Source organism: Homo sapiens, chromosome 1 (genome assembly GCF_000001405.40).
Source record: "Homo sapiens chromosome 1, GRCh38.p14 Primary Assembly".
Lineage (NCBI taxonomy): Eukaryota > Metazoa > Chordata > Mammalia > Primates > Hominidae > Homo > Homo sapiens.
In genome coordinates this window covers 19,237,894-19,262,038 of record NC_000001.11, presented here as the reverse complement: position 1 = coordinate 19,262,038, position 24,145 = coordinate 19,237,894, and the positions used below count along the sequence as shown (strand labels likewise).

At 49.7% G+C, this 24,145-nt stretch overlaps 2 protein-coding genes and 1 long non-coding RNA gene across 9 annotated transcripts in view, besides 4 other annotated features; 1 reads left to right on the top strand and 2 right to left on the bottom strand.

The window, feature by feature from the left end:
- Nucleotides 1-1,910: 1,910 nt before the first annotated feature.
- MRTO4 (MRT4 homolog, ribosome maturation factor) lies at nucleotides 1,911-10,234 on the bottom strand. Of its 2 annotated transcripts, none has more exons than XM_006710675.5 (8): nucleotides 9,791-10,234; nucleotides 7,199-7,257; nucleotides 5,988-6,091; nucleotides 4,894-4,975; nucleotides 4,518-4,585; nucleotides 4,055-4,206; nucleotides 3,486-3,562; nucleotides 1,911-3,358 (listed from the first exon to the last, which is right to left on the bottom strand). In XM_006710675.5, exons 3-8 carry the CDS (start codon nucleotides 6,035-6,037, stop codon nucleotides 3,209-3,211), a joined length of 579 nt encoding a protein of 192 aa, XP_006710738.1. In that variant the 5' UTR covers nucleotides 6,038-6,091; nucleotides 7,199-7,257; nucleotides 9,791-10,234; the 3' UTR covers nucleotides 1,911-3,208. The 2 variants fall into 2 exon arrangements, with proteins under 2 accessions (XP_006710738.1, NP_057267.2); NM_016183.4 differs by having other exon boundaries at nucleotides 10,176-10,234.
- Nucleotides 7,279-7,778: an enhancer, noted in NCBI's record as "H3K4me1 hESC enhancer chr1:19580755-19581254 (GRCh37/hg19 assembly coordinates)". NCBI's record gives its function as "activates a minimal SCP1, AML or CMV promoter by ChIP-STARR-seq in naive H9 embryonic stem cells {active_cell/tissue: H9 hESC(naive)}" and the evidence as "EXISTENCE:reporter gene assay evidence [ECO:0000049][PMID:30033119]".
- Nucleotides 7,779-8,280: an enhancer, noted in NCBI's record as "H3K4me1 hESC enhancer chr1:19580253-19580754 (GRCh37/hg19 assembly coordinates)". NCBI's record gives its function as "activates a minimal SCP1, AML or CMV promoter by ChIP-STARR-seq in naive H9 embryonic stem cells {active_cell/tissue: H9 hESC(naive)}" and the evidence as "EXISTENCE:reporter gene assay evidence [ECO:0000049][PMID:30033119]".
- Nucleotides 7,842-7,987: a silencer, noted in NCBI's record as "fragment chr1:19580546-19580691 (GRCh37/hg19 assembly coordinates)". NCBI's record gives its function as "represses an EF-1alpha promoter that drives an FKBP-Casp9 reporter gene in an ReSE screen in HepG2 liver carcinoma cells {active_cell/tissue: HepG2}" and the evidence as "EXISTENCE:reporter gene assay evidence [ECO:0000049][PMID:32094911]".
- Nucleotides 10,097-10,602: an enhancer, noted in NCBI's record as "NANOG-H3K27ac-H3K4me1 hESC enhancer chr1:19577931-19578436 (GRCh37/hg19 assembly coordinates)". NCBI's record gives its function as "activates a minimal SCP1, AML or CMV promoter by ChIP-STARR-seq in primed H9 embryonic stem cells {active_cell/tissue: H9 hESC(primed)}" and the evidence as "EXISTENCE:reporter gene assay evidence [ECO:0000049][PMID:30033119]".
- EMC1 (ER membrane protein complex subunit 1) overlaps nucleotides 10,515-24,145 on the top strand; it is a 35,865-nt gene continuing 22,234 nt past the window's right edge. For 3 of the 6 annotated variants that reach the window (NM_001271428.2, NM_015047.3, NM_001375820.1), the window contains exons 1-11: nucleotides 10,515-10,624; nucleotides 17,009-17,133; nucleotides 18,024-18,089; nucleotides 18,332-18,425; nucleotides 19,566-19,694; nucleotides 20,897-21,023; nucleotides 21,593-21,742; nucleotides 22,054-22,221; nucleotides 22,737-22,808; nucleotides 23,182-23,244; nucleotides 23,900-24,022. In NM_001271428.2, coding sequence (NP_001258357.1) covers nucleotides 10,530-10,624; nucleotides 17,009-17,133; nucleotides 18,024-18,089; nucleotides 18,332-18,425; nucleotides 19,566-19,694; nucleotides 20,897-21,023; nucleotides 21,593-21,742; nucleotides 22,054-22,221; nucleotides 22,737-22,808; nucleotides 23,182-23,244; nucleotides 23,900-24,022 — 1,212 coding nt within the window. In that variant the 5' untranslated portion in view covers nucleotides 10,515-10,529. The remainder of the gene's footprint in view (nucleotides 10,625-17,008; nucleotides 17,134-18,023; nucleotides 18,090-18,331; nucleotides 18,426-19,565; nucleotides 19,695-20,896; nucleotides 21,024-21,592; nucleotides 21,743-22,053; nucleotides 22,222-22,736; nucleotides 22,809-23,181; nucleotides 23,245-23,899; nucleotides 24,023-24,145) is intronic. The other 3 variants (NM_001271427.2, NM_001375821.1, NM_001271429.2) reach the window with 2 other exon arrangements.
- EMC1-AS1 (EMC1 antisense RNA 1) overlaps nucleotides 21,335-24,145 on the bottom strand; it is a 30,319-nt gene continuing 27,508 nt past the window's right edge. The window contains exon 2 of the long non-coding RNA NR_135114.1: nucleotides 21,335-21,782. This is a non-coding gene — a long non-coding RNA (EMC1 antisense RNA 1). The remainder of the gene's footprint in view (nucleotides 21,783-24,145) is intronic.

Here is a 24,145-nt window from a genome sequence, read left to right as displayed (position 1 = left end):
CATGGCCCAGTTCTTTTGGGTGGGGTAAACCTGTTCTTACACAAATTACTTAAGCGGCCAGGTAACCAACACTAGTTATTGCGATGGCCATGTTAAGTATGGTCATCTCAGTTTTACATGAGGCAACTGGCTCAGAGGCAATTTCACTTGTGTAGGGTCCCACAGCTACACATGGTAGGGAACGAACGTGGGTTTGACTGAAACTAATGTTTTTCTTTTTGGGGGGACAAGGTCTTCCTCTTGTCACCCAGGCTGGAGTGCAGTGGCTTGATCATGGTTCACTGCAGCCTTGACCTCCAGGGCTCAGGCAATGCTCCGCTTCAGTCTCCCATGTAGCTGGGACCACAGGCATACACCACCATGTGACTAACTTCTGTATTTTTTGTAGAGACAGGGGTCTCACTACATTGCCTGGGCTGATCTTTTTTTTTTTTTTGAGACAGAGTCTAGCTCTGTCACCCAGGCTGAGTGTAGTGCTGTGATCTCGGCTCACTGCAAGCTCCGCCTCCCAGGTTCAAGCCATTCTCCTGCCTCAGCCTCCCGAGTAGCTGGGACTACAGGCGCCCGTCACCATGCCCAGCTAATTTTTTGTATTTTTAGTAGAGACGGGGTTTCACCGTGTTAGCCAGGATGGTCTCCATCTCCTGACCTCGTAATCCGCCTGCCTCGGCCTCCCAAAGGGCTGGGATTACAGGCATGAGCCACCGTGCCCGGCCTGAGCCTGGGCTGATCTTGAGTCTTTGGGCTCAAGCAATCCGCCCACCTCAGCATTCCAAATTGCTAGGATTACAGGTGCAAGCCACTGCATCTGGTCTGAAACCTACATTTTTAACCATTAGCTTTTCCTGGCTCCTTGGCTGCCCACCCTGGAGACAGCCCAACCCTGTGTGTAGTGGCAGGGTTTCCCTCTCCCTGCTGTCCCTAACCCCCTTCTCCAGCTTGGGTATTATATGGTTATGGCTTCCCTTTAGTGAGCACGTTACGTGCCTGGTCTGCAGGCAAAGTGCTTCACACAATTTCTAATTCAGACAAGCGGCCTGAAGTCTGAAGCTGAAAGGCTGGGTGACTGACCTGGGTTTACCCAGCTGCTGAGCAGCAGATGAGTGGCTCTGAAGTCAGCTGTCTAAAGCTGAGACAGCGTGGAGGCAGGGCTTTAAAGCCCAACGGTCATGGCTGTTTGCAAGCAGTAATGCAAGGCATACGTGAATAACCAGAGCCCAGTTAGCGGCGGGGCCATGGCTGGGAGGGGCATGATTAGTCACTGTGCAGCAGAAATGTGTTGAAGTCTAGCTGTCTCCCTTACAGGGCATGCATAGGGACGTGGTCATCCTGGATGGAGCAATTGGAGAAACTGGCAGCAGCAAAGGGACCCTGGACTCGGCTGTCACAGAGGCCGCCGACCAAGCCTGGCACCTGACCATCCCACTACCTCCTCCAGGTCTGGCTAGACCTGGCTCAGGTGCGGAGGGCACCACCTGCCACCCTTCATTCTCTCCCCCTGGCCAGTTTTGGCCTTAAATGGTTGTAGGCTGCTTTCCCCTCTCAGCCCGGTTTGCAGATCCTCCCCTACACTCGTGCAGTCTTCCCAGTCATCCTCACAAGGCGAGAGGGCCGGGCCTGAGCTCTCCTTCAGCACTTCCTGCTGAGGCTGGTGCTTGACCTGGCCTAGGCCTGGGTGAACATGGTGAATTCCTCTTCTGCCCGAAGCCTGCTTCCTGCTGTCCTTCCCAAGGGCGTGGTGAGAAGTGGGCGGGAGTAGGAAGTCTCCAAAGAACAGAGGCACTGAGAGGGTGTCAGAGGCACAATGCCGTTGTGAAGGTCACCCCACACCGTGGGACCCAGCCTGACCTCCCAACAGCAGGGCTGGAGGTGGCCCTCTTCCATGCATGGCAGAAAAAAGAGGGCCACTGTACACCCTGAAGCTGATTTACTCTCATTCAGAACTGCTTTCATGAAATACAAATAGAACAATGTGGGCTGGATGCGGTGGCTCACACCTATAATCCCAGCACTTTGGGAGGCCAAGGTGGGTAGATCGCTTGAGCTCAGGAGTTTGAGACCAGCCTGGGCAACATGGTGAAACCCCATCTCTCCTTAAAATTTTAAAACAGAAAAATCAAAAACAAACAAAAGCAAATAGAACAAGGTGGACAAAAATCTACCATTAGAGTCACCAAGGATAAAACCTCCCAGGATGCCGTGGACACTTTAGACGCTGGCTCTCAACTCTTGCAGTGATGTCACTCTCAGCCCAAGGCTGTCTTCCTGGCATCCATCAGATCCGCAGCCCTGGTTTGGAAGTGTGTGGAGGGCTAGGAAGGATACCTAATTTTCCTCAGCAAATCCCTCTGCCAAGGGGTACCCAGGACTGAAGAGAAACCCCAGCTCTGGTGTGGAGCTGTGCTGTCATGGCAGTGCCAAGGCAGCCAGTGGAAGTTGGCTGACAAGGCAAACTGAGGCAATCCACGCAGAATTCAATGGCCACCCAGGCTGGAGTGCAGTGGCATGATCATGGCTCACTGAGCCTCCAACTCTCAGGCTTAAGCAATTCTCCCACCTCAGCCTCCCAAGCAGTGGGGACCACAGGCAAGTGGCACCACGACTAATTTTTTTTTATTTTTTGTAGAGACGGGATCTTGCTGAATTGCCCAGGCTGGTTTCAAACTTCTGGGCTCACCAAAGGCCTCTTTTCTAAGAAAGAGCCCTCTCCCTCCTCTCCCTCTTGCTGTCTCCAGGAGAGACATCCTGCAAGGTTGTATTCTTTTTTTTTTTTTGGGACAGAGTTTTACTCTGTTGCCCAGGCTGGAGAGCAGTGGTCCAATCTCAACTCACGGCAACCTCCACCTCCCGGGTTCAAGTGATTCTCCTGCCTCAGCCTCCTGAGTAGCTGGGACTACAGGCACATGCCACTATGCCCAACTAGTTTTTTTTTCTATTTTTAGTAGAGACGGGGTTTCACCGTGTTAGCCAGGATGGTCTTAATCTCCCGACCTTATGATCTGCCCACCTCGGCTTCCCAAAGTGCTGGGATTCCAGGCGTGAGCCACCGCGCCCGGCCCACAGTTTTATTCTTTACAGGAGGTCAGTGCCCATCATGTTCCCTGTCTACAGACAAATAAAAAGCTGCTCTCTCCAGAGGGGCGGCAGCAGTCCTGATGGTCCAGTGAGACCCAGAAGCTTCCAGGAGACCTTCAGTCCCGAGTCCCTTTCAGTCATCATCTTCTGAGTCTGACTCTTCTGTGGACTCAGATGCGCTCTCTGGCAAGTCGTCTCCCATCTGCTGGAACCTTCCCGACTGTGAATCCCACATGTATTTGATGGTCACCTTGAATTCAGCCATCTCATACCCAAAAAGCTTCTGCAAGAGACAAAGGGAACAAAGAATCAGGAGGAATGAAGGTATTCAAAGTGCAGGGGGGCATTTTCAGCAGGCAGAGGAAAGCCAGCAACCCCGCCCGCAACAGCCCGCAAGGCGCCAGACTCACCAGGACGCGAGCCTGCTCTGGGGTCAGCACATCGCCCTCCTTGCACACCTCGTAGTCAGACAGCAGAGTCACCACACCTGCAGAAGAGGGTGGCTCTCAGTTACCTCTGGCCCAGAGGCCTGCAGAGCCCTCTCTGCCCTGGTCATGTTGGGAGGAATCCAGTCAGCCACCTGCCCTCCCCACGGCTCCAACACACACTGGGCAGTGGCTGTCTCCCTGAGGTCCCTTTGATTTGCCGCAGCCTCGACCTCCTGGGCTCTAGTGATCCTCTTGCCTCAGCCTCCCATGTAGCTAGGACCACAGGCACACACCACCATGGCTGTCTAATTTTTTGACTTTTTTTTTTTTTAAACAAGCGCAAGGCCCCTGATGGGCCTCAAGGGCTGCATTTTGGCTGTAAGTTACTGTCTGCTTTCACCCCCACTGTGAGGCATGCACTCTTAGCCCCATTTTCTCATGAGAAAATGGAAGCTTGTAGAAATAACTTGCTCAGCTAGAAAGGGATGAGCTTGCAGGCCCGTGCTCTTGGACTCTAGGCTGTGACCTTTTGGCTCCAGGGCTGCCCATACCTCTCTTGAGGGCGGTGGGCAGGCCCAGCTGCCTGAGCTGTGGCTCCATGGAGTGGGGGAACTGCTCCAGGGGCCCTGGATCCAGGCTCACAGTGAAAGCTGCTTTGTTACCAGCTCGGGCGTAGTCCATTTCTGTGTATTTCGTGAACCACCTAAGGGAAAAGAGAAGTGGTAGGAGGAGATGCTCCTGGCCACGCCACCAGCCCATGAGTCAGGCTCCCCCAAGTGTCCCGTGGCCCTGGGCCTTCCCCCATCACAGACCTTGGCTGCTGGCCAGCAGCCAGCCCAGAGCACCATGCTGGAGAGGACAGAGAGGGCTGTGGTCCCAGGCCACTAGCTCAGTGACAGGCTTCCAGGAGCAGTTCCAACTTGATGCCACATATGGAACGAAGTTCCTGCATCATTCCCTCCCTGAAATCCCCTCTCACCCGCCTCTTTCCCTCCGTTCCTCAGCAGTACTTACTCATTCACCTCCTCCTTTGTGCGGTTGGTGAACAGGAGACCCACCTCACCCCTCAACCTTTTGCTGACCTACAAATCAGGAGTGAGGACAGCTTGGTCACATTAGAGCAGTGGTTCTCTACTAGGCACGTTTTTGCTCACCGGGTACATTTGGCAACATTTAAAGACGTTTTTGGTTGTCATAGCAGGAAGGAGTGGGAGGCAGGAAGCTGCTATTCCTTGGGTCCGGAGGTGAAGGGAGAACCCAGAGCTTTAAGCCAGGCCCTGCTCTCCCTGAGCCTCCGGCCTGCCAATGGCTGGGGGAGGCTGTCACATGGGAGTAGTGGGAGAGAGGGCGGCTTTGCCTTAGCTCCACCCCGTGAGGGCCAGAGACTTACCTGGTGCAGGTTGTCTTTGTATTCATCAGATGGGCTCCGACCCAAGGCCACCATCATCACCTTGTTTTTGCCAAAGAACATCCTACCAAGCAAGAGAAAGAGCATTCTGTGAAGGAAGAGCCCTGCCCTCCCCATCCCTCAGCAACATGCAAAGTAGCTCCGGTCCCCAGTGAGCTCAGGCCCAGGCTGAGCCAGTGGCACCCACTTCTCCATGCTGCCTGGCCACACTGTCCCCACGTTGGGGTCCCTTTCATTATGTTCCCACCCACAGACTCCTGACATGGCAACATTTTGTCTCCCAGCCCATCACGAGCATCATGTACCAGTTCTCTATCTGGATGTATGCGGGAGGCATGTTAACAGCCTGAACCAGAGCTGGTGCGGCAAGAGACCACCACCAGAGCCACCTGCCCCAGGACAGAAACTTGCCATGTGGCTCCTGCATCCTGCTCCCAGGTCACTGTCTGTGTCGCAGTGTCCCTACTGACATTCTAAAACTGGTGTGATGCTCCTAAATGGCCCACAGTCCAGGGTTAAAGGGCCACTTCTCCGGAAAGGCCCACCTCTCAAACATCTCCTGAGCAACTGCCAAGTCCTGCCCCTAGGAGCTCAGTGCAAAATCTGCTTTTTGAGGTGGAGTTTCACTCTGTCACCCAGGCTGGAGTGCGATGGTGCAATCTCAGCTCATTGCAGCCTCTGCCTCATGGGTTCAAGTGATTCTTCTGCTTCAGCCTCCTGAGTAGCTGGGATTATAGGTGCCTGCCACCATGCCCGGCTAATTTTTGTATTTTCAGTAGAGAAGGGGTTTCGCCATGTTGGCCAGGCTGGTCTCAAACTCCTGACTTCAGGTGATCCCCCTGCCTCAGCCTCCCAAAGTGCCAGGATTACAGGCGTGAACCACCGCACCCTGCCCAAGACCAGCTTTAACAGTGAAAAGGAAGTGCTCTTCAGTGGCAGGTAGCACTTTGTCCTTATTAAGGTGTCAGCGGCATGACCCAGGCACCTAAAGGGTCAGAAATTGCTCCTGTGCTTTGACTGAGAGCAGCCTGGCCGGGTCCCCACTCAGAAGGGCCTTCCTCCCCCTGCCCGCTCACCGGCTGTGCTTCCAGGCGTTCCGGATGTCCTTCAGCTTGCTGTTCCTCATGTTGGCCACAGAGAAGATGAAAAGGTACTTGTAGGTGTCCACACATTTCCGAAGCTGTGGGACAATTCACGAGGCTCTGAGTTCAAGCAGCAGCATACAACGGGCACTACTCTGGCCTCAGATGAGAATGAATCTGCTCTGGGCCCCTGACAACTATGGAAACTGGAAGAACTGGAGGCCTCTAATTTGGTTGTCTCCTACCTCCATTACTGAAATTAGGATCCCTAACCACAGGGGAGGCTGAGCCATGGATCTACACCCCACGGCCTTTTCCAGGTCTCTCACTTATTTATGACCAACAGTGGAACTGATCATCAGCTGTTAACCTAGAAACATTCACCCACATTAGGAAGGGTCCTGCTACATGGAAACACATGGAGCCTCTCTGTTATAAGGGGAGGCAGCTGATCGGTACTGCTCTGCACGTGGTGCTGGCCAAAGCCACCATGAGGCAGCCTCTAGGAGTGGAGTCATTGTGCAGGAGGAGACTGTTTCACCCAGCCTGCAGCCCAGGTTGGCAGGTCAGAAGCTGTACAGACAGTGGGTTGGTGCAGTCACCTACACCTGGTAAATCTCCCAGCTCTTTTTTTTTTTTTTTAAAGACAGGGTCTCACTCTGTTGCCCAGGCTGCGTACCACCACGTCCAGCTAGTTTTTTTTTCTTTTCTTTTTGTAGAGATGAGGTTTTGTCATGTTGCCCAGGCTGCTCTTGAGCTCCCAGACTCAAGCTGTCTGACCCACTTGGCCTCCCAAAGTGCTGGGATTACAGGCGTGGCCCACCATTCCTGGCCTCCTGTTTTTTGACATTAGGCAGGCTAACAAATCTCTGTAAGCTTCAGTGACCCCAAATGCAAAACAGCAACATCATCACCTAGTACCCACATCACAGGGATGTTATGAGGATGGAGTGGAACAACGCATAAGAAACACAGTGCAGGACAGGGCACAGAGTACGAGCTAGTCAAAGCTGGAAATCATCACTATGGAAGTTTTTGCTGGTGCTGCTGCTGGAGGAAAAAGGCCTGGATTGGCAGCTTGGAGATTTTTTTTTTTTCCCCACTAGTATGTTCCCCTGGCCAACAGTCCTATCCCTGGCCAACAGTCCTATACCTACCTTTATAAACCAAACAATTGCAAGCTCTAGAAAAGAACAACCTCTTACCTCTTCTATCAGGTTTTGTTTCAATTCCAAGCCTTTCTTGGCAGTTTTGGTTAAGGAGACTAATAAAAACAAAAAGGAGAGAGATGATGAGAGACCAATCTAAATGCACTGGAGACTTATTTTCTTCTCCCCTTTGGCAGAGAGCACTCAGCTGGATGCAGCCATTCTGAAAAAAGGCAGCAAGGCCTTTGTGGCCATCATTTCTGGCACACAAAGCCATTCCCAGGGCCCATGGAATGCCTACTCATTAGCATTCCTGGGCCTGAAGATCCCTGGATATAACTCCTGCTATTTAGACAAACTAGGCCTTTCTTAGCTCCTAAGGCTGACCCAAAAAACTTGATTGCAGTGTGGGGGTGGAGGCTGTTCCTGCTGCTAGAAGTGCTCTCAGTGGCAGACCTCACCTGCTGGCTGAGGCAGGCCCCTGTTTTTTGTTTTTTTTTTGACATGGGGTCTCACTCTGTCACCCAGGCTGGACTGCAATGGCACGATCTGGGCTCACTGCAACTTTGAGCTCCTAGGCTCAGGCAATCCTCCCACACAGGACTACAGGCACACACCACCATGGCCTGCTAATTTTGGCTGGGACCACAGAAATGCACCACCATGCCCAGGTGAGTTTTGTATTTTTTGCAGAGATGGCTTTTGCCATGTTGCCCAGGTTGGTCTCGAACTCCTGGGCTCAAGAGATCTGCCTACCTCAGTCTCCCAAAGTGTTGGAATCATAGGTGTGAGCCACCATGCCTGGCCCCTTGCTGCTCTTGACCATGATGCAGAGGCCACTCTAGCTGGCCTATGCTGTGCAACCATGAGGCTGGGGACTGAATCTCCTGGTATGTATCTGCACCCCAGTATTGCAATTTGGACCCAAAGACGCAGCAACACCTCTCTGGGGAGGAACATGTACCTCTACTGTAAAAATGGCTGGGGCCCAATTTGCCCTCTACCCACAGAGTTTGGCATTTGCCAGACCTGACCCAGGCCCCTCCACAGAATCAAATCGTTCCAGAAACACTTAACAGAACTCCAACTGCAAAGCCCCGGGCGCCTTCACAAAGGGACCCAGGCCTCTCTTCTTTAACCTGCCCGCACTCAGCCCCTCTTAACTAGGTACCACACAGACAAAGACAATGACATCAGTCAATGGTAAGTGGAGCAGAGGAGGGCAAACGAAATATAGCGGGCCACTTCCCATCATTTCCACTGTTATACCTTTGGCTCAAGCCAGCATCACCCTGTCTTGGATTAATGCTGGTCTCACTGCTTCCATTCCTGCCCTCTGCCCTGTCTTCCCCAACTATTCTCACCAAGGCAACCAGAGTGACCCTTCATAAGTAAAGGTAAATCACATGGGTCCTCTGCTACTCACTTCACCTGGGCAGGAAAGCCAATGCCTTGCCAAGGCCGAGGAAGTCCTGCCCTCTCTGCCTAACTCCCTCCCCAAACTCTATTTGGCTCCTTCTGCTCCAGCCTCACTGGCCTCTTGTCCCAAACACGTCATATCTGCTCCCATTTCAGAGCCTTTTCACTTCAGGTTCCCTCTACTTGGAACAGCATTCTCCCAGATAATTCCACAGCTGCTCAATTCCACAGGTTGCTCGCTTCCTTTCTTTATTTTCTGCTCATTTGTCACTTCATCAGTGAGACCTTTCCCGACCACACTATACAAAATATCAACATCTCTTCACCCCATTTTCAATCTGATTTTTAGCATTTTGCGGAATATGTTTCTCCTAAAACGTTAGGCTCGATAAGAAATAGGCTTTCCTTGTGACTGCTGTATCCTCTAACGCCTAGAAAGTGCCAGACCCCTAAATATTTTTGAATATTCCAGGGAGCCGGGTTAAGAGAGAGGCCACCACAGCAAAGGTGGTCAAAAACGGTCTCTTAAGAGGTGCGCAAGTCGGGTGTAGTGGCTCACGCCTGTAATCCCAGCACTCAGGGAGGGTGGTTGGAGCCCAGGTGTTCGAGACCAGCTTGGCAACACACTGAGTCTTCTCTATAAAAAATAAACAAAAAAAACCTAGCTGGGTGTGGTGGCGTGCGCCTGTAGTCTCAGCTACTCGGGAGGTTGAGGTGGGAGGATCGCTTAAGCCAAGGAGGTCAAGGCTGCAGTGACTTATTTTATTTATTTATTTTTGAGACGGAGTCTCGCTCTGTCGTGCCCAGGCTGCAGTACAGTGGAGCGATCTCGGCTCATTGCAACCTCCGCCTCCCGGATTCAAGCGATTCTCCCGCCTCAGTCTCCCAAGTAGCTGGGATTACAGGCACCTGCCACCATGCCCATCTAATTTTTAGTATTTTTAGTAGAAAAGGGGTTTCACCATATTGGCCAGGCTGGTCGGGAACTCCCGACCTCAGATGATTCGCCCGCCTCGGCCTCCCAGAGTGCTGGGATTACAGGCGTGAGCCACCGCATCCGGCCTGCAGTGTTACGATCGCGCCACTGCACTCCAGCCTGGGCAACAGAGCGAGACCCTGTCTCAGAGGGATCCTATTAACTGACAACTAAGAAGGCGCAAACCATACGAAGATGTAAGCATGCCAGGCAGAAACAACCGCAGACACACAACGCCAGACACGGGAACAAACCTGTGCTGAAAGAAGGGAAAGGCAGCCAGGGTGGCGGGAGCGCAGGAAGATGAGAAAGGGCCGAAGTTGGGAAAAGTGGGCCGAAACGGCAGCAGGCATAGCCGGGGGCGGTGTTCAGGAGCTGCCTCCCGACCCAGTTGGCCTTGCAAGAGCACCTGAAACTAGGCAAAACGAGTCTCCGCTCCCCAGACCCGACCGGGCGTCAGCCACCTCTGGCGGTTTTACAGCCCCGAAGCCCCCATTCCAGCTCGCAGCGAGGCAGCGGAACACCTCGAGGATGTCCTGGCGTTCCAATCTGCGCCCCCGCCGCCCCGAAGCCCTCACCGCAGGCTGGGTAGCCAGCCCACGGAGCTCCCCCCAGGGTCCCGACTCCCCCTTCGCCCACCTTTCTTGTCGCGCTTGGATTTGGGCATCGCGCTGAATCCACGTGCGGCGGAAGACGGTGCACCCCGTTAGGACCCCGGCGGCGCGGGGGACTCTGGGACGGCCCTCGGGGGCTGCCCCTCGCGTGTGCCTGACCCAATGTGCACTGCAGCCTGCCTCTCCCTGCCAAGCCGCCGCCTGCGCTTTCTCCCGCGCCTGTAGGGCAACTTCCCGTGTGCCGAGGCAGTCCCTGAATCCCGAGCGTCCCGTCCGACCGAGGGCCTCGCGCGCTATCCCAGCTCTGTGGTCCCGCGGAGGCGGAGCCCGCGGCGCGGTGCATGCCGGGACGGCGGTGGGTGGTGCATGCGCTCGCATCATGGCGGCTGAGTGGGCTTCTCGTTTCTGGCTTTGGGCTACGCTGCTGATTCCTGCGGCCGCGGTCTACGAAGACCAAGTGGGCAAGTTTGATTGGTGCGTACGTGTGGAACATATTCGAGAGATAAGTGGCTGTTTCCCCAGTACCTGTCTCCTACCTGCTAAAGGTTGTCACTTAACAGGATTGGCCGCATAATTTGCAGGACCCAGTACAAAATGAAAACGTGGGGCCCCTTGTTAAAAAATTATTAAGGATTTAAAGTCGTTGGAAGCAGAGCCTTAAACCAAGTGTTAGGGGTCATTCTAAGCTGATCCTTGCGTGTAAGCCGGCCCTGCCATCCAGGAATGCTTGGGGTGCCGGTCAGAGATCACTGATCCCGTCCTCCCTCGTCAGGTTCGATTTTTTTGACTGTGAGGTTTCTGGTCTACCAGGTGTCAGAGGTCGCCAAGCTGTCAGTGAACTTTAATTCCTACTCGAATTGGTGTCTTGTAGGCAAGTGAACAGGAGCTTTCGTCTTAAAAGTCCTAAACTGAGTCCTTTTCCCCTCTCATCAACCTAGTCTGGCCCTGGGCTCACAGCAGGATTGCCCAAAACACTAAGCAGCTAGAATATGCCATTCACTCATTCATTCATTCACCCACCCACGTCTTCCTTAAGGCCCTGGAGTAGCTTGCTTTTGTTTGAATTTTACTAGTTAAGACTTGTGTGATCTTGGGGAAAGTGACTTAACCACTCTGTGCCTTGGTTTCTTTGTCTGTAGAATGGGTTTACTAACAGTCCGTTATCTCTTACAGTACTTGTGAGAATGAATGAGACAATCCCATTAAATTACTTAGCACAATGCCTGGCTCATTGAATGCAGTCATTAAGCGTTATCTGTTATTATTGCTATTTACACTTTATTCTTCAGGGCCCAGGTCAGATTTCTCCTCCTCTGAAGTATTTTCTGTCTTGGAAAAGTTGATTCGCATATATGTTGAGTACCTGTTATGCCAGACAGTGTGACAAATAAAACATGTTACATTTTTAATGATGTGCACAACTGTTCACAATGTCATATGTGTATGTTACACATATATATCGGGTGATATGTGTATCTAATTTTGCAGAATACTTGATATATGCAATTTTCTTAATTTTATTTTCATGAATGAATGAATGAATGAATGGCATTTCCTAACTGCTTAGTGTCTTGGGCAGCTCTGCTCTGAGCCCAGGGCCAGGTTAGGCTGATGAGGGGGGAAAAGGACTCTGTTTAAGACTTTTTTTTTTTTTTTTTTTTTTTTTTTTTGAGACAGTTTTGCTCTTGTTGCCCAGGCTGGAGTGTAATGGCGCGATCTCATGGCTCACCACAACCTCCGCCTCTGGGGTTCAAGCGATTCTCCTGCCTCAGCCTCCCGAGTAGCTGGGATTACAGGCATGCGCCACCACACCCAGCTAATTTTTGTATTTTTGGTAGAGACAGGGTTTCTCCATGTTGGTCAGGCTGGTCTCAAACTCCCGATCTCAGGTAATCCACCCGCCTAGGCCTCCCAAAGTGTTGGAATTACAGGTGGGAGCCACTGCGCCCAGCCAAGACTTTTTAAAATTTTTTGAGACAGGGACTCATTCTGTAGCCCAGGCTGGAGTACAGTACTATCATGGCTCACTGCAGCTTTGACCTTGCAGGTTCAAGTGACCCTCCCAGCTCAGCCTCCTGAGTAGCTGGGACTACTGGTGCACACCTCTCCAGTTTCTTTGTATTTTTTGTAGAGACGGGGTTTTGCCATGTTGCCCAGGCTGGTCTTGAACACCTGGGCTCAAGCAATCTGGCTGCCTCGGCCTCCCAAAGTGCTGGGATTACAGGTGTGAGCCACTGCACCTGGCCTACAGTTTTCAGATTGAAAAATAAATGAAGACATACAGGTATGCATCACTTAATGATGGGAATACATCCTGAGAAATGCCCTCTTGTGCAAACGTTGTAGCATGTACTTATGTAAATCTAGATGGTTTAGCCTACTACACACCTAGGCTATATGGTACAGCCTATTCTTCCTAGGCTACAAACCTGTACGGCATGTTACTTTACTGAAAACTGTAGGCAATTGTAACACAATGGTAAATATTTGTGTATCTAAACATAGAAAATGTATGGTAAAAATAGGATATGAAAGATAAAAAATGGTACACTGGTATAGGGCACTTAACATGAATGTATCTTGCAGAACTAGGAGTTGTTCTGGGGTTAGTCAGTAAGTGGTTGGTGAGTAAATGTAAAGGCTTAGGACATTACTGTACACTACTGTGGACTTTATAAATACTGTGCATTTAGACTATACTAAATTTATAAAATTTCTTCAATAATAAGTTAACCTTAGCTTAATGTAACTTTTTTACTTTACAAACATTTTATTTTTTTAATTTTTGACTTTTGTAATAATACTTAGTATAAAACACAGACTTTACAGCTGTACAAAAATATATTTTTAAAATTTATTTTTGACATGGGATCTTGCTATGTTCCCCAGGCAGATATTGAACTCCTGGACTCAAGCAAGCCTCCTGCCTCAGCCTCCCTAGCAACTGGGATTACAGGCATATGCTACCATGCCTGACTTAATAATATTTTTCTTATATCTTTATTCTATAAGCTTTTTCCTACAATACTAAAATTTTTTTTTTCAGTCTTAAACTATTTTGTTAAAAACTAAGACACAGGCCGGGCGCAGTGGCTAACATCTGTAATCCTAGCACTTTGGGAGGCTGAGGTGGGTGGATGGCTTGAGTCCAGGAGTTCAAGACCAGCTTGGGGCTGGGCGTGGTGGCTCACGCCTATAATCCCAGCACTTTGGGAGGCCGAGGCGGGTGGATCACGAAGTCAAGAGGTCAAGACCATCGTGGCCAACATGGTGAAACCCCGTCTCTCCTAAAAATACGAAAATTAGCTGGGCGTGGTGGCACACGCCTGTAGTCCCAGCTACTTGGGAGGCTGAGGCAGGAGAATTACTTGAACCTGGGAGACGGAGGTTGCAGTGAGTTGAGATCACGCCACTGCACTCAGCCTGGCAACAGAGCGAGACTCCATCTCAGAAACAAAACAAAACAAAACAAAAAACAGGTTGGGCAATATGGCGAAACCCCATTTCTGCAAAGCATACAAAAATTAGCCGGGCATGGTGGTGGGTGCCTGTAGTCCCAGCTACTCGGGAGGCTGAGGTGGGAGGATCACCTAAGCCTGGGAGGTCGTGGCTGTAGTGAGCTGTGATGGTGCCTCTGTACTCCAGTCTGGGTGACAGAGTAAGAGCATCTCAAAAAACAAGCAAACAAAAAACAAACTAAGACACAAACACATTAGCCTGGGCCTAAATAGGGTCAGGATCATCAATATCACTGTCTTCCACCTCCACATACTGTCTTACTGGCAGGTTTTCAGGAGCAGTAACACCCATGGAGCTATCATCTGTGATAACAATGCCTGTTTCTGGAATACCTCTTTTTTTTTTTGGGACAGAGTCTTACTCTGTCGCTCAGCCTGGAGTGAAGTGGCATGATCTCAGCTCACTACAACCTCCACCTCCCGGGTTCAAGTGATTCTCATGTCTCAGCCTCCCAAGTAGCTGGGACTGTGGTGCACAGCACTATGCCTGGCTAATTTTTGTATTTTTAGTAGAAATGGGGTTTCACCATGTTGGCCAGGCTGTTCTTGAACTCCTGACCTCAGGTGATCTGCTCGCCTCCGCCTCCCAAAGTGCTGGGATTATAGGCATGAGCCACTGCGGCCAGCTTGGAATACCTCTTGAAGCACCTGCATGAGACTATTTTACAGTTAATTTTCTTTTAATAAGTAGAAGGAGTACTCTAACCATAAAAAGTAGATACGTAAACCAGTAACACAGTCATTTATTATCATTGTCAAGTATTATGTAGTATACATTATTGAATATGCTGTACTTTTATACAGCTGGCAGTACAGTGGGTTTGTTTACACCACCTTCACCGCAAACGTGATTAATGCATTCGACTACAATGTTATAGCAGCTACAATGTTACTAGGTTATAGGAATTTTTCAGCTCCATTATACTCTTGTGTGACCACCACTGTATATGCTGTATATGCGATCAATCATTGACTGAAACATTGTTTTGCAGTGCATGACTGTATAGTAAAACGTTAAAAGTATATGTACAAAGCTGGGCACAATGGCATGCACCTGAAATCCCAGCTACTTGGGAGGCTGAGATGGGAGTATTACTTGAGCCCAGGAGTTCAATCCAGCCTAGGCAGCACAGTGAGATCCCATCTCAAATAATAAAAAGTGTATCTATAGTGGTGGTTGTATTAGTTTTCTCAGGCTGCTATAATGAAATACCATAGACTAGGTGGCTTAAACAATAGAAATTGATATTCTCACAGTTCTGGAGGCTGGAAATTCAAGATCAAGGCATTGGCAGGTTTTGTTTCCTCTGAGGCCTCGCTCATTGGCTTGCAAAAGGCTGCCTTCTTGCTGTATCCTTACATGGCCTTTACTGTGCTTACACATCCCTGATGTCTCTTCCTCTATTGGATTAAGGCCTCACCCTTTTGACTTTATTAAAACATAATTACATTTTTAAAGGCCTTGCCGTCAAATACTGTAACACTGGGGGATAGGGTTTCAACACAGGAGTTTTTGAGGATACAATTCAATCCAGAAGAGTGATATATTACATTTTAAAATTTTTATTATTTATTTATTTTTTATTGTTTTGAGACAGAGTCTTGCTCTGTCACCCACGCCGGAGTACAGTGGCATGATCTTGGCTCACTGCAACCTCCGCTTCCAGGGTTCAAACGATTTTCCTGCCTTAGCCTCCCAAGTAGCTGGGATTATAGGTGCCCATCACGCCCAGCTAATTTTTGTACTTTTATAAGAGATGGAGTTTTACCATGTTGGCCAGGCTGGTCTCAAACTCCGGACCTCAAGTGTTCGGCATGCCTGGACCTTCCAAAGTGCTGAGATTACAGGTGTGAGCCACCGTGCCTGGTGGAGATTTTTAAATTGTTATAAGTGTTCCCCCCACCCACTCATTTTCTGTAATAAGGAGGCATTACTTTTATATCCAGATAAAACAACAGTATTTTATTTACTTATTTATTTGAGACAGAGGCCCACTCTGTCGCCCAGGATGGAGTTCAGTGACACGATCTTGGATCACTGCAACCTCTGCTTCCTGAGTTCAAGCGATTCTTTTGCCTCAGCCTCCCGAGTAGTTGGGATGACAGGCACGTGCCACCACGCCCAGCTAATTTTTGCATTTTTAGTAGAGATGGGTTCTCACCAAGTTGGCCAGCTGGTCTCGAACTCCTGATCTTAAATGATCCACCCACCTTGGCCTCCCAAAGTGCTGGGATTATAGGCGTGAGCCACTGCGCCTGGCCTGTTTATTTTTTTGAGACAGAGTCTTGTCAGGTTGGAGTGCAATGGTGTGATCTCGGCTCACTGCAGCCTCGACCTCCTGGGCTCAAGCGATCCTAATCGAGAAAATTATTAGCCTCACATGGTAGGCTACCAAGTACAAAGGAGGTGCTTGCTCTGTGCTGTTAAGAAGTGCTGTGATCTCAGTCGGGCGTGGTGACTCACGCCTGTAATCCCAACACTTTGGAAGGCCGAGGCGGGTGGGTCAGTTGAGGTCAGGAGTTCGAGACCAGCCTGGCCAACATGGTGAAACCCCATGTCTACTAAAAATACAAAAAAATTAGCCGGGCGTGGTGGCAGGTGCCTGTAATCCCAGCTACTCGGGAGGCTGAGATAGGAGAATCGCTTGAACCTGGGAGGTGGAGGTTGCAGTGAGCTGAGATTGCACCATTGCACTCCAGCCTGGGGGACAAGAGTGAGACTTCGTCTCAAAAAAAAAAAAAAGAAAGGTAAGGTGCCCTTTTGGGTGTCACTTATCTGAAGGTAAATATGTGCTTCCATTTAGAAGGAAGAGTTAGTATTATCTATTAGGAGCTAATTTTCTTCTCTTACTCTCTTTGCATCTGACTACATTGAATGGAAATCTTGCTTTTGGTCAGAGCTCTTCACTAACAAACACTTCTTTTTTTTGAGATGGAGTTTTGCTCTTGTTGCCCAGGCTGAAGTGCAATGGTGCGATCTCAGCTCACTGCAACCTCCGCCTCCCGGGTTCCAGCAATTCTCCTGCCTCAGCCTCCCGAGTAGCTGGGATTACAGGCATGCGCCACCATGCCCAGCTAATTTTGTATTTTTCATAGAGACAGACGGGGTTTCTCCATGTTGATCAGGTTGGTCTCGAACTCCTGACCTCAGGTGATCTGCCTGCCTCGGCCTCCCAAAGTGTTGGGATTACAGGTGTGAGCCACTGCGCCCAGCTAACAAACACGTCTTATGTGTCCTAAAATGAATGTGATGGTGATAGCCCTGTGATTTTTTTTCCGGAGCATTTTGTGGAATGGTGATTTTAGCTCCTTATGGTCCCCTGTACTCTTTTTTTCTCAGGAGACAGCAATATGTTGGGAAGGTCAAGTTTGCCTCCTTGGAATTTTCCCCTGGATCCAAGAAGTTGGTTGTAGCCACAGAGAAGAATGTGATTGCAGCATTAAATTCCCGAACTGGGGAGATCTGTGAGTGAACTGAGAACTGTGTCTACTGGCTGCCTCAGGGATGAAAGACTTACCATTGCCAACTCTGCCTGGCTGATTCCTGAATAAGGAACATGTTGGCCAAAAGATGCCTCTCCTAGTGGATTCTGATACTTTTTTTTTTTCAGTCTTACCATCTTTGAATATTTGTATGTTCCTATAACTGACCTTTGCGGTTTGTTCTCTCAGCTTGAATCCTGAGTGTCCTTAAATAAGATATTGCTGCAAGCCCAGGCGGGAGGATCACTTGAGCTCAGGAGTTCGAGACCAGCCTGGGGATCACAGTGAGGCCCCATGTCTAAAATTAAAAAAATCAGGCATGGTGGCGTGTGCCTAGATTCCCAGCTACTTGGGAGACTGAGGTGGGAGGATTGCTTGAGCCCAGCAGGTTGAGGCTGCAGTGAGCTGTGATCATGCCAGTTCACTCCAGCCTGGGCAATAGAGCAACACCTTGTCTCAAAAAAAAAGATGCTGCTGCAAAAAACACATTATTCTACTTTGCAGTAAACTCTCAGATACCCTCACTTAATTACCTACACTGGCCGGATGTTTTTAGGCACTAAAATAAGGGAAATAGAATTTATGATCACTATTTTTCTTGTGAATTGGATGGATTTTATTAATCTTATTGTTGTTTGTTTATATGTTTGATGGGGTGGTAGTGGGGCCTGGACAGTAGTGGCCCCTCTTAACCCCTTCTACCCTCATTACCCCGTGAATGGGACTGGATCACTGCCAGTTAGCTATACTCCTTCACTCCCTCGAGATAAAATTGGACATTGCTGTGCAAATGAAGAGCTCTTCATTTATTTCTTAGTCTTCTGGGTTGCCACCTTTTGTTCATAGTAATGTCTAACTTTCATGTCTCTCAGTGTGGCGCCATGTTGACAAGGGCACGGCAGAAGGGGCTGTGGATGCCATGCTGCTGCACGGACAGGGTAAGCAGAGTCCTCCCGTGTCTCCATTGTGCGGCCAGCTCCCTGTCCCATTCCTTGGCTCCTTGATCTGTACAGGGTCTGGTAGGGAAAGGAGACTGGGGACTCCTGACAGTGAAGGACAGGTACCTGTTTAACATGTATTTGCATCCAGAAATCAGAGGTGAGGCCACTGCTCACAGTGGGACCCTAGGAAGCGACAGAGCAAGTGGGAAATGACTTCACCACGATCTTTTCTTTTCCAGATGTGATCACTGTGTCCAATGGAGGCCGAATCATGCGTTCCTGGGAGACTAACATCGGGGGCCTGAACTGGGAGATAACCCTGGACAGTGGCAGGTAGGGGAGAAACTGGATTTTATCTTGACTGAGTTAAAGGCTTCACCGGAACACAGATCTGCATAGACAGCAACTCTGGGCTTTTGGCTTTTTCCCAGGGACCACTGAAGAGCCAGCCATTGACATTGAGTACCCATTGTGGATATGCTTGCTCAGCCAACATGTATTGAGCGCCTGTTAGATGCAGAGTTTCTAGGTGCAATGTTTGCGCTTGTGCTTGAATGCTGTTCCTAATTTCACTGTGATTCGTGAGTTTTGCAATGTTCCAGATATAAGAACATAATATAAAACTTCCACTGTTTAGTTTTGTTTAAAGAACAGCCTGACCTATTGTTAACATCTTTGCTAAAGTTGTTTATTTTTATTTATTGAGTTTTTTGAGACATAGTTTCACTCTGTCACCCAGGCTAGAGTGCAGTGGTGTGATCTTGGCTCACTGCAACCTTCACCTCCCAGGTTCAAGCAGTTCTCGTGCCTCAGCCTCTCCAGTAGCTGGGATTATAGGCATGTGAACCACGCCTGGCTAATTTTTGTATTATTAGTAGAGACGGGGTTTCACCATGTTGGCCAGGCTGGTCTCGAACTCCTGACCCCGTGATCCTCCCACCTCAGCCTCTCAAAGTGTTGGGATTACAGGCATGAGCCACCGGGCCTGGCCCCTAAAGTTGTTCAAATGATAGGGTCATTTGTATTAGCTTATACATTTTCTGATAGTAATTCATTTGGTAAACACGTGCTGAGCCCCAGGCGATGAGAACACATGGGACTGTGAGACAGTTGCTGTCATTGAGGATTCCGCTGTCCATTGGGAGGCAGGCAGGTAGCACAGTAATGACAGCACTGTCTCATGGATATGTGGCAGAGGGTAGGTCCAGTTGCTGTGAAGTCCCAGGGGAAGGAGGGAACAGCCCTTAGGAGATACAGATGGTTTCAGGGAAGCAAGTAGTGTGGCCAAATGGTTGCAAGTGCAGAATCTCAAGTTGACTAACAAGAGGCAGAGCCAGGGTTAGGATCCAGCTGTGTTTGACCCCAAAGCCTGTTTTCTTACCCACTAAGCAACAGTGGGTACTGTTCTGGACTGTCTCTCCCAGCCTGAGGCTCTGCAGGTGTGGGCTGCTCTCAACCTGTACTTGTGTTCAGTTTCCAGGCACTTGGGCTGGTTGGCCTGCAGGAGTCTGTAAGGTACATCGCAGTCCTGAAGAAGACTACACTTGCCCTCCATCACCTCTCCAGTGGGCACCTCAAGTGGGTGGAACATCTCCCAGAAAGGTAAGGCTGCCTGCTCACAGGCAATAGCTGCCTCGTTCTACTCTCTAGGAGCTCCTCTTTCTCCTCGAGGGACCCGAAGCATTTGCTTTAACCCAGGCCTGTCTCTTGTTGGTGTTCCATGGAGTGTGTTGCACTCAGAATATCTTGAAGGCTGTGAGTATGGGTGAAACTCCGGAGTATGCCTGGAGTTTCCTTTGCACTGAGGAGAACACTCTCAAACTGGGGTGCTAGGGCGAGCCATGCTACGGGAGCCACTCACTCGCTCATGGTTATGGTACTTTGTGCCTTCTGACTTCTAGTTCAAGTTCTAGTTCTAGTTCTAGTTCTGACTGAGCCTTTCGTTCATATTAAGAGTTAGAACAACTCAAGAAGACCCAGGGTAGGCTGAGTGAGGTGTGAAATGGTTTCTCGAGGTCCTGCTGGTAGAAAGCATCGAAATTGGGAAGGAACAAGAGAGAAGGAACAAGATAAAAGGATCTACTTAGACACCCTGTGGCCATTTTCAAAGTTTAGAGCAGGACTCAAAACTTCAAATTCTGGCCTGGCATGGTGTCTCACGCCTGTAATCCCTGCACTTTGGGAGCCTGAGGTGGGTAGATCACTTGAGCTCAGGAGTTCAAGACCAGCCTGGGCAACCCCATCTCTACAAAAAGTACAAAAAATTAGCCAGGCATGGTGGTGCGTGCTTGTGATCCCAGCTACTTGGGAGGCTGAGGTGGGAGGATCACCTGAGCCTCGGGAGGTAGAGGCTGCAGTGAGCCGTGATCGCACCACTGCACTGCAGCCTGGGTGACAGAGTGAGACGCTGTCTAAAAAAAAACACAACAAAGAAAATGCTATGAGGCGGGTTATGAAATATCCATGAGCAACACTGGCTGGATGGGAGCTGCAGTGCTCCTGGCCTGCCTGGAGGGGGCAGCCTTACCCACCTGATTGGTGCTCTGTATTTAGGCCTAGTGTTGCCACATCTTCTAACCGTAGGAAAATTTAGAAATCTGATTGTGAAGTATAATATCTTCTAAATGTTGACAACTAATTCAAATTAAGAACAACAACAACAAAAGCCCCCAAACTGTGTGAGCCAAACAAAACCTATTTGGGAATTACTAGTTTGTGACATCTGGCTGAGGCCTGGCAGCCCCTGAGGATAATCCTGTCCTGGGTTGAAAGCTGACGCTGCGGTTTCTTCTTCCCTCTCTTAGTGACAGCATCCACTACCAGATGGTGTATTCTTACGGCTCTGGGGTGGTGTGGGCCCTCGGAGTTGTTCCCTTCAGCCATGTGAACATTGTCAAGTTTAATGTGGAAGATGGAGAGATTGTTCAGCAGGTACAGGAGGGTGACAGGAGCCTGTGAATAAGGTGGGGTTGGGGGAGACTTGATAGATTTCTTTGTACTGGGGAACAGGGAACTTGGCTGGGCAGATGCAAAAGCTACTTATGCTCCCTCATTCTGGTCACTTGCCAGCTGCCTTCCCATTAGGCCTCTATTTAAAGTACTCATATTTGCATGTGTTATCTTCTGGGGTGGCTAAAAAATTACATAGATCTAGTCTCTGCCTGTAAGTATCTTACAGTGCTGTGAAATCACAGTAGGACACCACATATGGCAAATATAGTAAAGAAGTGCTGATTCTGAAGTGCCAGGTATTTAAAATTATCGGATATATTTTTCCAGTGACCAGAAAGAAAATCCTGATATTTTTTCCAACTTTGAAGGCTCTCAGGAGGTTGGAGGGTGGGGTTTCAGGGGACAGGAAGAACTCCTATACAACCAACCATGAAGAACCTTTGAGCTTAGGACCCCCAGTGGGATGCTGGCAGCAATATTGCTGTTGGGCTGAGAGGGAAATGTAAAAATCTTTCACGAGCTTCCTGTTAACGATGACTTTTCTGTAGGTTAGGGTTTCAACTCCGTGGCTGCAGCACCTGTCTGGAGCCTGTGGTGTGGTGGATGAGGCTGTCCTGGTGTGTCCTGACCCGAGCTCACGTTCCCTCCAAACTTTGGCTCTGGAGACGGAATGGGAGTTGAGACAGATCCCACTGCAGGTGAGAGGCTGCCACTGCTTCTTCTGGCCTGAGGCATTTCCTGCGGGGAGTAGAAAGTTTGGCATGATTCCCCTGGAGGGTCTTTCTCCTAGACTCTTCCTGAGCAGTGGAAGCCATTCAGGCCTCTGGCTGAACTGGTGTAAGAGGAAATCAGTCACTTTCCTCTTTGGGGAACTTGAACTGGAGCATTTGGAGCCACCTGCCATGGCCCAGTTACTTCCCCCGGCAAAGTAGGGCAGAGGTTGTGAGCCTGGGATGGGTCAGGGAGTCGTCAGCTGTTAGCCATAATCCTCCTCCTTCTTGCCTTCCAGTCTCTCGACTTAGAATTTGGAAGTGGATTCCAACCCCGGGTCCTGCCTACCCAGCCCAACCCAGTGGACGCTTCCCGGGCCCAGTTCTTCCTGCACTTGTCCCCAAGCCACTATGCTCTGCTGCAGTACCATTATGGAACGCTGAGTTTGCTTAAAAACTTCCCACAGGTAACTGCAGGCAACATGGTTTGCTAGGATTCAGGAGATCTCTCCAAGACATGGATGCTAGAAGGCAGTGCTTTTGAATCTGGAAACGTTTGCTCTTAGGCCCAAGATTGATGACACCTTCCCGTAAGTGGTTTGAGAGGGGGTAGGTAGCCTTATCATAGAAATGGTGTATTTCCTCCTGAGTATTACAAAGGATCTTTAGAGCAAAACTAGTGCCTTCCTTAGTCCAAAGGAAATATGGGGACATAAATGAGAGCTTCCCCATAGATAGTAAGAACAAGCAGCATGGGATTTAAGATTGACCTGTGCCTGCGTTGGAGGTAGGGAGAGTTCTGTTTTCAGCTGTAGATGCAACTGAGGCCTCCCTCTGCTCTTAAATGCCTGACCATTCTGCTCCAAAGTGGGGAGCACTTTCAACTCTAAGGCCAAGGGCCTTCCCTGGAGAGGTGACCCTCTGTAAGGCAGCTGGCTAGTACTGGTCCCATTTAGGAGCTGATGCCTTGCTTTTCCCCCAGACTGCCCTAGTGAGCTTTGCCACCACTGGGGAGAAGACGGTGGCTGCAGTCATGGCCTGTCGGAATGAAGTGGTGAGTATTGAGAACAACAGTCAGCACTTGGGATTTTCCTTCCTGGTCTCCACTAGGAACCCTGAAAATCAGAAGTCTGGGCACATTGACCTGGTCAGTTTGAACCCAGCGGGCAGGAGGCTGTTGAGAAGTGAGGTCTTGCCTCAACTATAGAGCTTTCTGCACACCCCATTTCTCCCCAGGAACGAGACCCTAATGTGATGACCTTACTTTCATATGGGGCTATTAAGGGTTGAATAGGCTTTGTGGGCAGGGGTGAGAAATGAGCTTTGTCTTCTCTCAAGTGCTAAGAAGACAAAAACAAAAGCTTCATTTCAGTGACTGGGAAGTGACCCTTTGGCTGAATTTTCTCCTGTCCTTCTCTTTCTCATAGCAGAAAAGTAGCAGTTCTGAAGATGGGTCAATGGGGAGCTTTTCGGAGAAGTCTAGTTCAAAGGTATGGTGTGGCACTGGGCAGTATGCCAGACCTAGAGACGCAGGAGGCCACCAAAGAGAGTTGGGGGAAGAGCTTTGGTTAGGAGCAGGTCCTAGAGTTCCCAGCTTCAAATGAGGTTTCCTAAGTACTGTAAATTAAATGATGTTTCTCTTAATCTCATTTTACCGGGAGATTAGGAGGTAGAATCCCTAGAGTCTGTTTCTAGCCACTTTCTCCTCTGGGCCTCAGCGTCCCCATTTCTTTTGGGATCCTGGCTGGCACAGTTGAGTAGTACTCTGTGCAGTTACCCTGTAGCAGAGGCATGAGCCCCTGGCTGGAGGCATAGGTTCCTGCTGTGGCTTCCATCTAAGCGTTTCCCTGCCTCCTGTCTTGCTCAGTCTTACCTTGCTCAGCCCTACCTCTCTCTCAGAAGTCTCTGCTACTCTGTACTGGCTTCCAAGACAAGTATGGTAGTTGTAATTTCATTTATTTACTCAGGCACCTTATTTCTGCCTTAGGATTTAGCTTGCTTTTCTCTTTTATTCTCCTTTGCATATATTTCCCCTTCTGGCCTGGCTCCTTCTCTAGGGTATTTGCCCCCAATCCTTGGACTTCCTTTGGTGGGCTTTGCTTTCGGGGGATACCTGTAGTTGACACGTGCTGTCTGTACTCCTAGGACTCTCTGGCTTGCTTCAATCAGACCTACACCATTAACCTATACCTCGTGGAGACAGGTCGGCGGCTGCTGGACACCACGATAACATTTAGCCTGGAACAGAGCGGCACTCGGCCTGAGCGGGTAAGGCAGAGCCTTTCTTTGCAGACTGTCCTGTGGGCTTCTCAGCACATGGCTTCCTTTCCTCAGGGCCAGGTCTTAGCCATGGGGCTTGGATTAGGCTCTCTAAACATGTGTTCTAGTGCT